We start from the raw sequence: 13,420 nt of genomic DNA, 5'->3' as shown, positions 1-13,420 counted from the left end.
GAGGCAGGGGAAGGTTGCTCGAGCCCAGTAGTTCAAGTCCAGCCCGGGCAACATTAGGTAGACCCCATCTCTCAAAAAAAAATTCCTCAAAAAATTAGCCATGCGTGGTGGCATGCATCTGTGGTCTCAGCTACTTGGAAGGCTGACGTGGGAAGATTGTTTGGGCCTGGGAGGCAGAGGCTGCAGTGAGCTATGATTGTGCCATTGTATTCCAGCCTGGGTAACAGAACAAGACCCTATCGTAAAAAAAAAAATATTGGGTACATCTCAAATTTAACAAAACTAAAATCGACCCCTGAGGGTTACTCTTCTAACCTGCTCTTCCACAATTTCCCTGTGGGAAAGAGAGTTTCTGGGTTGCCAGTTGAGTTGGTCTCCTCTGTGTGAGACACCCATGGGAAGCCATGGGCAGCCTCTAAGGAGAAAAGTCTCCTTATTGCCTTCATGTCTTTATGCCCTGGGAGCATAACCACTCAGCGGCATTCCACAGGTTGGTCAGGGAGATTACACTCCCTTGAAGCAATGGAGTATAATCAAACATCTTGGCTCCTCCTGAAACCCACTTCCACCTGTTTCAGTCCTGGTAAGTTAAAGATCTTAAGTAGTTTAGACACACATCTTTGCTCAAGGAAATTCACAGAAACCACCACTGCTACACATCTTATCGAATGACTCACGAGTTCTCCTTCACTGATTAATCCTGTTCCTCATCCCTTCCTCCCCCTCCCATCTGCCCTAAGAACAAAGAGCTTGTAAGCCAATAAATTGCGTGAAGCCCAAGAGCTCTGGGCCGTGAGCAAGCCTCTGATGCTCTGGTCCCCTGAACCCGCCTTTTAAATGCTTATTCTGTCTCTTTCTAACTCCTTTGTGTCTGTCAGACTTGGGGTACCCACTGGGTGGTGTGGGGCTGGTTTCCCCAACATCTGGCACCCAACGTGGGGCTCCCCATAATCTCTACAAATAATCCAGTGAAGAAACGCCAGAGCGTGGAAAGTGGAGGACGACTGACAAAGGTTGCCCGAGTACGTTTTCACTTCAGGCTCTACGGGTAAGTAGGGTGCTCGGAGAATTCCAGGGTAACCTCAGGAAAATATGGGTCAGGCTGAAAGTAAGTTTGCAAATTACTTAAGCCTGGTGCAGCAGTTATTGTGCCACAGCGGGGTAATTGTGAGTACCCAAAATCTCACATCTTTGTTCCATCTCATAGAAAAGTATTCTCCTTTGTTCCCAGGATATGGAACCATGAATGTAAAAGATTGGGACAAGGTCGGATCAGACTTACAAGGAGCAAAACAAGAGGGTTACGATATTTCCTTCTCCACTTGGTCTGTGTGGCCAGCAATTAAAACAGCACTGGAGCCCTTCTACACTGAGGAGGAGGAGTTTCAGGATGACATACAAAAGTTTAATAATCATGAGTCTGATGATCAGCAAAGTGAACCATCACAGTCTAGTTTAAAAAAGGGGGAGAAACAGGAAGCTACATGGGCTAACCTCCAAAAACTTATGAAAGAAACAGTTCCACCTACTGAAGAAACAGTGCCACCTACTGCGCCTTTAGGGGAAGGTCCGGAACGGCCACCCCTGCCTCAGCCTTATGAATTTTTGTAACGAGAGCCTGAGACGCAGCTTGCCACTCCCATTGTTGCACGCCCCACCATTAACTATGGCAAAGGGAAGCTTCAGTCTTGCCCAACAGCCAATTACAGTGAGGGAATGATCCAGGTTGGTCCACCTGTTAATTATGGTAGAGGAATGCTGTGAACCGGCCCAAATACATATTATGGCGCAGGGATAATCCAGGCATCCATTTGCCAGGCATGAGAAATGGGGGATTTGGATGCTTGGCAGTTTCTGGTAATTATTTCGCCAGCTGAGGAGCCTGGAGAACATGCTCAAGCGTGCTGGGAGCCATTTCCTTTTAAAATATTAAAAGACTTAAAGCAAGCAGTTGGACAATATGGGCCAAATTCTCCTTATGTTCATTCCTTGTTACAATCTGTGGCGTATAACCAGCATTTAATACCTATGGATTGGGAGACATTAGCCTGATCCACCCTGCCCCCTCTCAATTTCTCCAATTTAAAACCTGGTGGATGGATGAAGCAATAAATCAGGCATGCAGAAATGCTCAAGCCCAAACTTTCATTAATATCACATCTGATCAATTGCTTGGAAGTGGACAGGCATGGGGTACTCTAAATCAACAGATGGTAATGGGTGATGAGGCTGTTGATCAGCTCAGAACTATATGCCTAAGAGCCTGGGAAAAAATTCACTACCCTGGTACTACTTATCCTTCTTTTAACTCAGTTTGACAGGGTCGAAGGGAGCCTTATCCAGATTTTATCATTCATTTGCAAGATGTGGCTCAAAAGGCTATTTTGGATTCTCATGCCAGGAAAGTGATCGTCCAGCTACTTGCTTATGAAAATGTTAATACAGAATGTCAGGCAGCAATTAGACCTATTAAGGGAAAGGCAGATCTAAATGAGGAAAAAACTTTAAGAGTATACATTAAAGCCTGTGATGGCATTGGCAGGCACTTATATAAGGCCAGCCTCCTTGCTCAAGGAATGGCTGGACTAAGGGTAACAAAAAACATATGAGTGTGCCCTGGATCTTGCTATAATTGTGGACAGATAGGACATACAAAAAGAGAGTGTACAAAGAGCCAAAAAAGGCAAAACTCAGGAGGAAAAAGCAGGGAACCAAGTACCTTTCCTAGAAGTAAAAAAGGAAAAGACTGTGCTAATCAATGTCATTCAAAGTTTGATGACAGCAGACAGACAGAACTTGCCAGGAAACGGACAGAAGGGCCAGCCCTGGGCCCCGATTCAAAATGGGGCATTCCCAATTCAGGATGGGATGTCCCCAACTCCAAACGGAGTGTCCTCAGCCCAGTCTATCCCTGTATGAATGTACAGGAATTGTCCCCCTCCACAGCTAAAAGTGGGGCAGTAGATTTATGCTGTACCGAAGCCATATCCCTCCTTCCTGGGGAGCCTCCTAGGAAGGTCCCAGTGGAAGTTTATGGCCCATTGTGAAATGGCACGGTGGGACTTATACTGGGAAGGTCCAGCTTAAACTTAAAGGGAATTCAAGTACATACTGGAGTAGTGGACTCTGATTGCCAGGGAGAAATTCAAATTGTTATCTCCTCCACTGTTCCCTGGAGTGCTAATCAAGGTGACAGAATAGCTCAACTGTTGCTTTTACCATATGTTAAGTTAGGAGAAAGCTCAGAAAAAAGAACAGGAGGATTTGGAACACAAATTCAGCAGGCAATGCTACCTATTGGGTACATCAAGTCTCTGACAATAGACCTATTTGTATGGTTACTATTCAAGGAAAACAATTTGAGGGTCTGGTGGACACAGAAGCAGACGTGTCGATCATAGCTCTTTATCAATGGCCAAAAAACTGGCCCAAACAAAAGGCCCCAGTAGGTCTTGTTGGGGTCAGAATTGCTTCAGAAGTTTTCCAAAGTACTTTTATCTTACCATGTCTTGGTCCAGAAGAACAGGAAGGCACACTACAACCTCTAATTATGCCCATTCTTGATAACTTATGGGGGAGAGATCTGCTTCAGCAATGGGGCACAGAAATTTCAATCCCTTCTCCCCAGTTTGGTCAAGCTAGTCAAAAAATAATGTCAAACATGGGCTATGTTCCCAGAAAAGGCCTAGGAAGACAGGGGGCTGGCATTATTGAACCCATACAAGTTACTGTAAAAAATGACTGAAAAGGATTAGGTTACCATTTTTAGGGCTGGTCACTGTTGAGTCTCCAAGTTCTATTCCCTTAAAATGGAAGACCCAAAATCCTGTTTGGGTTGAGCAGGGGCCACTTTCTCAGGAAAAATTGGGGGCCTTACAGGAATTAGTCAAAGAGCAATTAAACAAAGGAAACATTGAGCCCACATTTCCTCCATGGAATTCGCTAGTGTTTGTAATAAAGAAAAAATCCAGCAGATGGTTCATGCTAACCGACTTACGAGCGGTCAATGCAGTCATCCAGCTGATGGGGGCCCTGCAGCCAGGGCTTCCATCGCCCACCATGATTCCTAGAGACTGGCCATTAATAATTATAGATTTGAAGGATTGCTTTTTTAATATTCCTCTAGCAGAGTCCAATTTTGAGAAATTTACTTTTACTATTCCTGCTATGAACAACAAGGAACCAGCAGCCAGATATCATTGGAAAGTCTTGCCGCAGGGTAGGTTGAATAGTCCTACTATTTGTCAAACTTTTGCGGGGAAGGATGTTCAACCTGTGAGAGATCAGTTTCCCGATTCATATGTCATTCATTATATGGATGACATATTGTGTGCGGCTGAAAATCGAGACCAACTTATCCAGTGTTATTCATATTTACAGGAGGTGCTAGCCAATGCTGGATTGCTCATAGCACCAGATAAAATTCAAACGGCCACTCCTTTCCAATATTTGGAAATGCAGGTTCAGGAAAGGGCAATTAAACCCCAAAAGGTTCAAATTCGAAAAGACTCTCTGAAAACTAAATGATTTTCAAAAATTATTAGGGGATATCAGTTGAATTTGACCTACTTTGGGAATCCCTACCATGTTATGTCTAATCTGTTCTCTATTTTAAGAGGAGACCCTGCTCTCAATAGTAAATGATAACTGACTCCTGAGGCTGACAAAGAATTACAAATAATTGAAGAAAAAATACAACAGGCCCAGGTTAATAGAATAGAGTCAAGTTTACCATTACAGTTCATTGTGTTCCCTACTCTCCATTCTCCTACAGGGGTTATAGCTCAGAGTGAGGACTTAGTTGAATGGTCTTTTCTGCCTCACAATACTGTTAGAACACTCACAGTATACTTGGATCAGATGGCAATCTTGATTGAGCAAGCTTGCCTTAGAGTTGTTAAACTTTGTGGCTCAGATCCAGATAAGATTATAATTCCAATGAATAAAATCAGATTTGGCAAGCCTTTGTTAATTCGGTCAATTGGCAAATAAATTTAGCTGGCTTCATTGGAGTTCTTGACAATCATTATCCAAAAAACAAAATTTTTCAGTTTTTAAAGCTAACATGGGTCCTTCCAAAAATTACCCGTAGTGCTCCATTGGAAGGAGCAGTGACTGTGTTTACAGATGGCTCTAGTAATGGAAAAGCAGCTTACGTACGACCTAAAAACACAATTATTCAAACTGACTTTCAATCGGCACAGAAGGCTGAATTACAGGCAGTTATAGGTGTGTTCGAAAACTTTAAGCAAACTGTAAATATTGTCTTTGATTCAGCTTATGTTGTTCAAGCCACTCAACACATAGAAACTGCACTCATTAAATATCTGGTGGATGAACAACTCTATCAGCTGTTTTCTTCTTTACAAAAGGCAGTGCATGATCACCGTTTTCCTTTCTATATTACACACATTTGAGCACACACTAATCTTCCTGGGCCCCTTGTAAGGGCTAATGATCAAGCTGATTTATTAATTTCCACTGTGCTTACTAATGTCCAAGATTTTCACTCCCTAACACGTTAATGCAGCAGGACTTAAACAAAAATAACAAATTACTTGGAGACAGGCAAAGGGCATTGTGCAACATTGCCCTCAGTGCCAGGTAGTACAACTGCCACGTGAAAGGACTGGTGTTAACCCACAGGGATTAACCCCCAATATGTTGTTGCAAAAGGACCTAACCCATGTACCTTTGTTCGGGAAACTTTCATACGTCCATGTTACTATAGATACCTTTTCTCATTTTGTATGGGCAACTTGCCAAACAGGCGAGGCGGCTGCTCATATTAAGACATTACTTCCCTGTTTCGCTGCCATGGGCATCCCACAAAAGATTAAAACAAACAATGGCCCAGGCTACTGTAGTAAATCTTTACAGGCGTTCCTTTAACAGTGGAACATCGAGCACAGTACTGGAATACCCTATAATTCTCAAGGTCAAGCCACTGTTGAACAGGCTAATCGAACCTTAAAATCTCAATTACAAAAACAAAAGACAGAGGGGGAAACCAGAGAATACGCTACTCCTTATATGCAGCTACAATTGGCTCTTATCACTTCACATTTTCTGAATTTGTCTAGAGATCACGTTACAATGGCAGCAGAGCAGCATTTGACAAGGCAAAAAATAAATGCTTATGAAGGAAAACATGTGTGGTGGAAGGACATCAGAACCAAAACCTGGGAAAAGGGCAAAATCATTACATGGGGTCAAGGGTTTTCTTGTATCTCACCAGAAGAGAATCAGCTTCCTGTCTGGGTGCCCACAAGACATCTTAAGCTGTGCCATGAGCCAGAATCCAAGGAAGAGGAAAAGACCTCGGAACATCCCTGCACCCCCAGTTCATCAGATGGCTCAGATGAACATCTCTGTTGAGCAGATGGAAACCAGTAAAACTCGCCAAGCAACTCCACTGACCTGGGGGCAGGTGAAGAGCCTAGCTCACATTGCAGAAGAGAACCTGAGGTCTCTGAACAAGCTGCTGACCACCAGTAATCTAATGGTAGCTATGATGGTGGTAATCTCCCTGCAGTGAGTCTCCCCATAGCTGAGGCAGATCAAAATTACACTTACTGGGCCTACATTCCATTCCCACCACTGATTAGGCCTGTTACATGGTTAGACCCCATGTTAATGATAGTATCTGGATGCCTGGACCAATAGATAACCGAGGCCCTACTCATCCAGAGGAGGAAGGAATGTTAATGAATGTTTCCATTGGTTATCACTTTCCTTCCATCTGCCTGGGGCCGGCAGCAGGATGTTTAAATTATGATAAACAAAGTTGGATGACTTGTGTCCCTGCAAATAATGGATCAAAAGCCCCTATTCATGCAATCAGTGGAAGAACATTTCAATCTTTGGACACTATTAAATACCTTGAGCACGGCTATGTTATGACACATCGCCAGATTAATAAATATAAACCTAATAAGAAGCCCTGCCCTAGGAAGGCCACTAAATGGTCTGGAAAGCTAGAGGTGCTAACCTGGGAAGATTGTATTGCAAACAGCACTGCTGTACTGCAAAGTAATTCCTATGGAATCGTCATTGATTGGGCCCCTATGGGACGCTTTGCAGTAAATTGTACTGGACAGTGCGAAGATGGTAGAGAGACTCCTTTTGCAAACAACTACCCAGATAATGCACCAAAATTATATAGAAGAATTAAAACAAATTAACCTATTAAGTGGGAGGAGAACGGTATGGCTCTTTCAAGCCCAAAAATGATTGATCCAATTATAAGTCCAGAACATCTAGAATTGTGGAAATTAATGATGGCTCAAACCCCAATTCGGATTTGGAAAGGAGAATATAAAACAAAGACCCTTAGTAAAAAAAACTTTGATTTGTCGTAGCCATGACCTCTAATCAGACATTCCCATTGCAGAGTTTTGTTAAACCTCCTTTTATGTTGGCAGTGGGAAAAATTAATATCCTAACTGACTCTCAAACCATATCATGCCTCAACTGTCATCTTTTTACCTGCATTAATTCTACCTTTAATAAAGATAATAGCATTTTACCGGTTAGGGCCCAAGGAGTTTGAATAACTGTTTCCCTCAATAGACCTTGGGAGGCCTCTCCCTCCATACATATTATCACGGAAGTACTAAAAGGAATACTTAATAGATCAAAGAGATTCATATTTACTTTAATAGCTGTGATCATGGGCCTTATAGCTGTCACAGCTACTGCTGCTGCTGCTGGTGTTGCTTTGCACTCTTCTATTCAAACAGCGGGCTTTGTGGATAGTTGGCAGAAAAATTCTTCTAAGCTTTGGAATTCCCAAAGCCAAATAGGTCAAAAATTGGCAAATCAAATTAATGATCTCTGTCAAACAGTAATTTGGATGGGAGATTGGATTATGAGCTTGGAGCATAGAATTCAAAAACAATGTGACTGGAATACTTCCGATTTTTGTTTTACTCCTAGCTCTTATAATGCCATTGAACACCAGTGAGAGACGATTAGACGTCACCTACAAGGAAAAAAAGATAATTTAACATTAGATATTGCTAAACTGAAAAAACAAGTTTTTGAGGCATCTCAGGCTCATCTCACCCTATTGCCTGGAGCTGATATTCTTGCTGGAGCCTCTGATGGCCTTTCTAATACCAATCCTTTAAAGTGGATTGAAACCATAGGTGGATCAACAATTGCAAATTTTATTTTGGTTTGTGTCTGTTTATGTTGCTTGTTTTTAGTCTACAGATGCAGATGGTGCCTTGGGAGAGAAACCAGACACCATGAATGAGCCATAATAGCAATGGCAGTTATTAATAAAAAAAAATCAATAGAGGCAAAAAAGGGGAACATGTGGGAAAGTGTTTCTGGGGTGCCAGTTGAGTTGGTCTCCCCTGTGTGAGACACCCATGGGAAGCCATGGGCAGCCTCTGGGGAGAAAAGTCTCCTTATTGCTTTCATGTCTTTATGCCCCAAGAGCATAACCACTCAGCAGCATTCCACAGGTTGCTCAGGGAGACAACACTCCCTTGAAGCAGTGGAGTATAATCAAACATCTTGGCTCCTCCTTAAACCCGCTCCCACCCATTTCAGTCCTGATAAGCTAAAGATCTTAAGTAGTTTAGACACACGCCTTTGCTCAAGGAAATTCACAGAAACCGCCACTGCTACACATCTTATGGAATGACTCACGAGTTCTCCTTCACTGATTAATCCTTTTCCTCATCCCTTCCTCCCCCTCCCATCTGCCCTAAGAACAAAGAGCTTGTAAACCAGTAAATTTGGCAGAGCTCAAGAGCTCTGGGCCGTGAGCAAGCCTCCGATATTCTGGTCCCCTGAACCCGCCTTTTAAATGCTTATTCTGTCTCTTTCTAACTCCTATGTCTCCACCAGACTCAGGGTACCCACTGGGTGGTGTGGGGCTGGTTTCCCTAACATTCCCCACCAAATAAAGCAGCTCCAACCTTCTAGATGGTTGCTCAGCTCAGAAGTCTTAGAGAAATTCTGATGCCTCTCCTCACATTTGCTCTGTCGGCAAATCCTGGTGTCACAAGAGGGCTCAGGAGGGTTTCTGGATGCCAACGAGACCCCAGCCACAGCCGGTCCCCAGATTCTTGACATCATCACAAGAAAGAATTCACAGGTGAGTCAGAATGAAGTGAAATGCAAGAAGCTTTTATTGGAAAGCAAAAGTCTGCACTTAAGAGAGAAGTGGGTGCATGCTCGTGAGAACGAGTCACGCAAACAGAGTTTGGGTTTCTAATTTTATTTGGTGTTTCTTTAATTAGGGGGTGGAATAATCATTAGGTATTCTGGAAAAGGAGGGGACTTCAGGGACCCCTGAAATTGCCCATGCTAGAGTGTTGTGGCACAATCCTAGCTCACTGCAACCTTGACCTCCTGGCCTTAAGTGATCCTCCTGCCTCAGCCTCCTGAGTAGCTGGGACTACAGACGTGCACCACTATGCCTGGCTAACTTCTAAAAATTTTTAGTAGAGACAGGGTCTCATTATGTTGCCTAGGCTGGTCTTGAACTCCTGGCCTCAAGTGATCCTCCCACCTTGGTGGGAGCCTGCAATTACAGGCATGAGCCACCACACCCGGCTTCTGCTTTATTATTTTCCAAAGCACTCGTCCCTGCCTGACACATTATAGATGCATGTGTGTCTTGTCTCTACAATGTGGGCTCCCAGAGGGCAGGGACTTTGCTCTGTTCTGTTGTCTGTTGTTGAATCCCCAGTGCCTAGGATGGTGCCTGGCACATAGTAGGTATTCAATATCTATTGAATGAATATGGTCCCTGGGGCTAAAAGTAAGAAAGGAGAAAAAAATAAAGCAACCCCCAAATTTGATGAGAACCCTATAGTCCCTGACTGATTGTTTCCTGGCCATCATCATCATCAGCTTCAACTTTGTCAACACACCCTTAATATGGGTGTACCTTGTTTTACAGTTTGCCGAGCACTTTCACACCCATTATTGGATATGACACACAACCCGGTGAGAGTGCTCTCAGTGGAGTTAAGATTCATACTTTTCCCAGACATGGTGGATTGCCCCTGTAATCCCAACAACTTGGGAGGCTGAAGTGAGAGGATTGCTTAAGGCCAGAAGTTTGAGACCAGCCTGGGCAACATACTGAGACCTCATCTCTAAAACAAATAAATTAGCCAGGCATGGTGGCACATGCCTGTAGCCCCAGCAACTCAGATCACTTGAGCCCAGGAGTTAGAGACTGCAGGGAGCTATGGTCACACAACTGCACTCCAGCCTATGCAATAGAGTGAGACCCTGTCTCTAAAACAAAACAAAAAAATTCATACTCTCCCCAGACTTCAGTTTTTTATCAAGAAATGGATAAAACCAGGGGACTTTCCCATGATCAGTTTACTCAGTGGTAAAGAACAGTGATTCAACCATGTGTTTTAATTCCAAGTCCAGTTGTCTTTATCTCGAGCAGAAAGTCTACATATGCAGCAGTTAAGACCTGCAAGCTGTGGAGTTTGGATAGAAAAGACTTTGAAACTTGCCGCCAGCATTTCCTGGCTGTGTGATGTTGGGAAAGTTGTCAGCCCTCTCTGTTGTCTCTATTTTTTTCACTCATCAAATGGGGCTAATAATAGTACCAGCTGTGTTTGGTGGCTCACACCTGTAATCCCAGCACTTTGGGAGCCTGAGGCCAGTGGATCACTTAAGTACAGGAGTTCAGGACCAGCCTGGGCAACATCATGTTGAGAGGTGGAGCCAGCTGGACTTGTGGGTCGAGTGGGGACTTGGAGAACTTTTCTGTCTAGCTAGAGGATTGTAAATGCACCAACCAGCACTCTGTAAAAATGCACCAATCAGCGCTCTGTGTCTAGCTAAAGGATTGTAAATGCACCAATAAGCACTCTATAAAAATGCACCAATCAGCGCTCTGTGTCTAGCTAAAGGATTGTAAATGCACCAATCAGCACTCTGTGTCTAGTTAAAGGATTGTAGATGCATCAATCAGCACTCTGTAAAAATGCACCAATCAGCGCTCTGTGTCTAGCTAAAGGATTGTAAATGCACCAATAAGCACTCTATAAAAATGCACCAGTCAGCACTCTGTGTCTAGTTAAAGGATTGTAAATGCACCGATCAGCACTCTGTAAAAATGCACCAATCAGCACTCTGTAAGATGGACCAATCAGCAAGACATGGGTGCAGACAAATAAGGGAATAAAAGCTGGCTACCCCAGCCAGCAGCTGCAACCTGCTCGGGTCCCCTTCCACACTGTGGAAGCTTTGTTCTTTCACTCTTCACAGTAAATCTTGCTGCTGCTCACTCTATGGGTCCACACTATCTTTACAAGCTGTAACACTCACTGTGAGGGTCTGCAGCTTCATTCCTGAAGTCAACGAGACCACGAACCCACCGGGAGGAACAAACAACTCTGGACACGCCACCTTTAAGGGCTATAACACTCACTGCGAAGGTCTGCGGCTTCACTCCTGAAGTTAGCAAGACCACGAACTCACCGGAAGGAAGAAACTCTGGACACATCTGAACATCTGAAGGAACAAACTCTGGACACACCATCTTTGAGAGATGTAACACTCACTGCGAGGGTCCGCAGCTTCATTCTTGAAGTCAGAGAGACCAAGAACCCACTGGAAGGAATAAATTCCGGACACAGTGTGACCCCATTCCTACAAAAAATATAAAATTTAGCTGGGTGTGGTGGCATGCACCTGTGGTCCCAGCTACTCGGGAGGCTGAGATGAAAGGATTACTTGAGCCCTGGAGATCCAGGCTGCAGTGAGCTGAGATTGCACCACTGCATTCCAGCCAGGGTGACAGAATGAGACCATGTATCAAAATAATAATAATGACAGTACCTATCTCATAGGGTGGTTCTGAGCATTGAATGAGGTAAGACCTGGAACATAACAATAACTGATTTTTAAAAATAATTTAAAAAATCTAAGTGTTACCAAAATACCAGGGGTTCAGTCTTGGTCCTGCTGCTCACCACACAGAAAGCCAATGACTGGGACAATGACTACTGCCAAGGAAGAAGGCTTTAATCAGGTGCTGCAGCCAAGGAGATGGGAGCTCAGGCTCAAATCCATCTCCCTGACTGACTAAATCTAGGGGTTTACATAACAGGGAAGAAATGTAACAATGTATAAGAAAACAGGAAGGGGCAAGGAAGCAATCATGATAAATGAGGGGTCCCATACCTCATTGTTCTGATGTGGTGATCTTGTGAGTTTCAGTTCTTTGATAGTTTTTTTTTTAAATTTATTTTTTATTTTTTGAGAGGTCTGAAGATGTTTTCTGAGGAAGGAACTCAGACAAAACAAATGTAAGTTTCAAGCTTTAAGACCAGAAGCGGCCAGACATGGTGGCTCATGCCTGTAATCCCAGCACTTTGGGAGGCTGAGGTGGGCAGGTCACTTGAAGTCAGGAGTTCGAGACCAGCCTGGCCAACATGGTGAAACCCCGTCTCTACCTAAAATACAAAAATTAGCTGGGCGTGGTGGCGCACACCTATAATCCCAGCTACTTGGGAGGCTGAGACAGGAGAATGGCTTGAACCCGGGAGGTAGAGGTTGCAGTGAGCCGAGATTGTGCCCCCACACTCCAGCCTGGGCAACATAATGAGACTTCATCAAAAACAAAAACAAAACGAAATAAAAACAACAACAACGAAACAACCAGAAGAGTCGATTTCCATGTTTAAAGAAAAAAAAGAAGTCTGTGTGTGGATCTATTGGGTCGGTTTCATAAGCATGTTACACTGTGTTCATGCAAGCATTTTTTGAGTGGCCCTTGATTCTGTCCAAATTTCTTCAGCTAACCTGATAGTGAAAACACTGGAAGTACGACATCATCTACTTTAAAGTTGGTAAAAACTAAAGCTCCTGGTCACAAAAGGGATTTCACTCAGTGCCTTTGGGAAGAGAAGGACGGAAAATTGCATAGCAACTAGAAGACAGGCTCCCCAGAGGGAGAACAGAGCTGTGGCCAACCCCTGGAGCACTCATAACTGAGATCATTTTATTGTGCCCTCTCCTGAGAGGATGGTGTTTGCACACAGCAGAGACATACAAAGGTGGCCCCTTAGCCTCCACGGGCAGGGACTGTGCTCTGCTTCCCGGCTGCAATACCTTTGTACCTGCGCCCCCTTGTGGGAAGTCCCACAGTCTTTCCAGAAGTGGGGTGCAGAAAAGGGTGTTAACCTAGACCAAAGAAACGGTGCTAACCAAAACTAAGAAAAGGGAGCCAACCTAGGGCAAAGTAAAGGTGCTAACCTGGACCACGGAAGGGAGCTAACCTGGACTAAGCACCTCAGGCTAGGAGTCAACTTTGCACCTGACATCATGCATGACCTCACTTAACATATCCATGAGGTGGCTTTGCAAATATGGAAACTGAGAGATACAGACAGACAAACAAAGAAAAACTTGCCTAAACTCATCT

The 13,420-nt window shown here is 43.9% G+C and overlaps 1 long non-coding RNA gene across 1 annotated transcript in view, besides 2 other annotated features; it reads left to right on the top strand.

Moving 5' to 3' along the window:
• Positions 8,059-9,258: an enhancer, noted in NCBI's record as "CDK7 strongly-dependent group 2 enhancer chr16:19404552-19405751 (GRCh37/hg19 assembly coordinates)". NCBI's record gives its function as "activates an origin of replication core promoter dependent on BRD2, BRD4, P300/CBP, MED14 and CDK7 cofactors, with strong dependence on CDK7, by STARR-seq in HCT116 cells {active_cell/tissue: HCT116}" and the evidence as "EXISTENCE:reporter gene assay evidence [ECO:0000049][PMID:35650434]".
• Positions 8,756-13,420, top strand: part of LOC105371114 (uncharacterized) — a 39,276-nt gene continuing 34,611 nt past the window's right edge. The window contains exon 1 of the long non-coding RNA NR_188657.1: positions 8,756-9,112. This is a non-coding gene — a long non-coding RNA (uncharacterized LOC105371114). The remainder of the gene's footprint in view (positions 9,113-13,420) is intronic.
• Positions 12,975-13,034: an enhancer, noted in NCBI's record as "active region_10529". NCBI's record gives its function as "activates an Ori minimal core promoter by ATAC-STARR-seq in GM12878 lymphoblastoid cells {active_cell/tissue: GM12878}" and the evidence as "EXISTENCE:reporter gene assay evidence [ECO:0000049][PMID:35858748]".

This window comes from Homo sapiens, chromosome 16 (assembly GCF_000001405.40).
Source record: "Homo sapiens chromosome 16, GRCh38.p14 Primary Assembly".
Lineage (NCBI taxonomy): Eukaryota > Metazoa > Chordata > Mammalia > Primates > Hominidae > Homo > Homo sapiens.
This window is presented reverse-complemented; position numbering and strand designations above follow the sequence as displayed.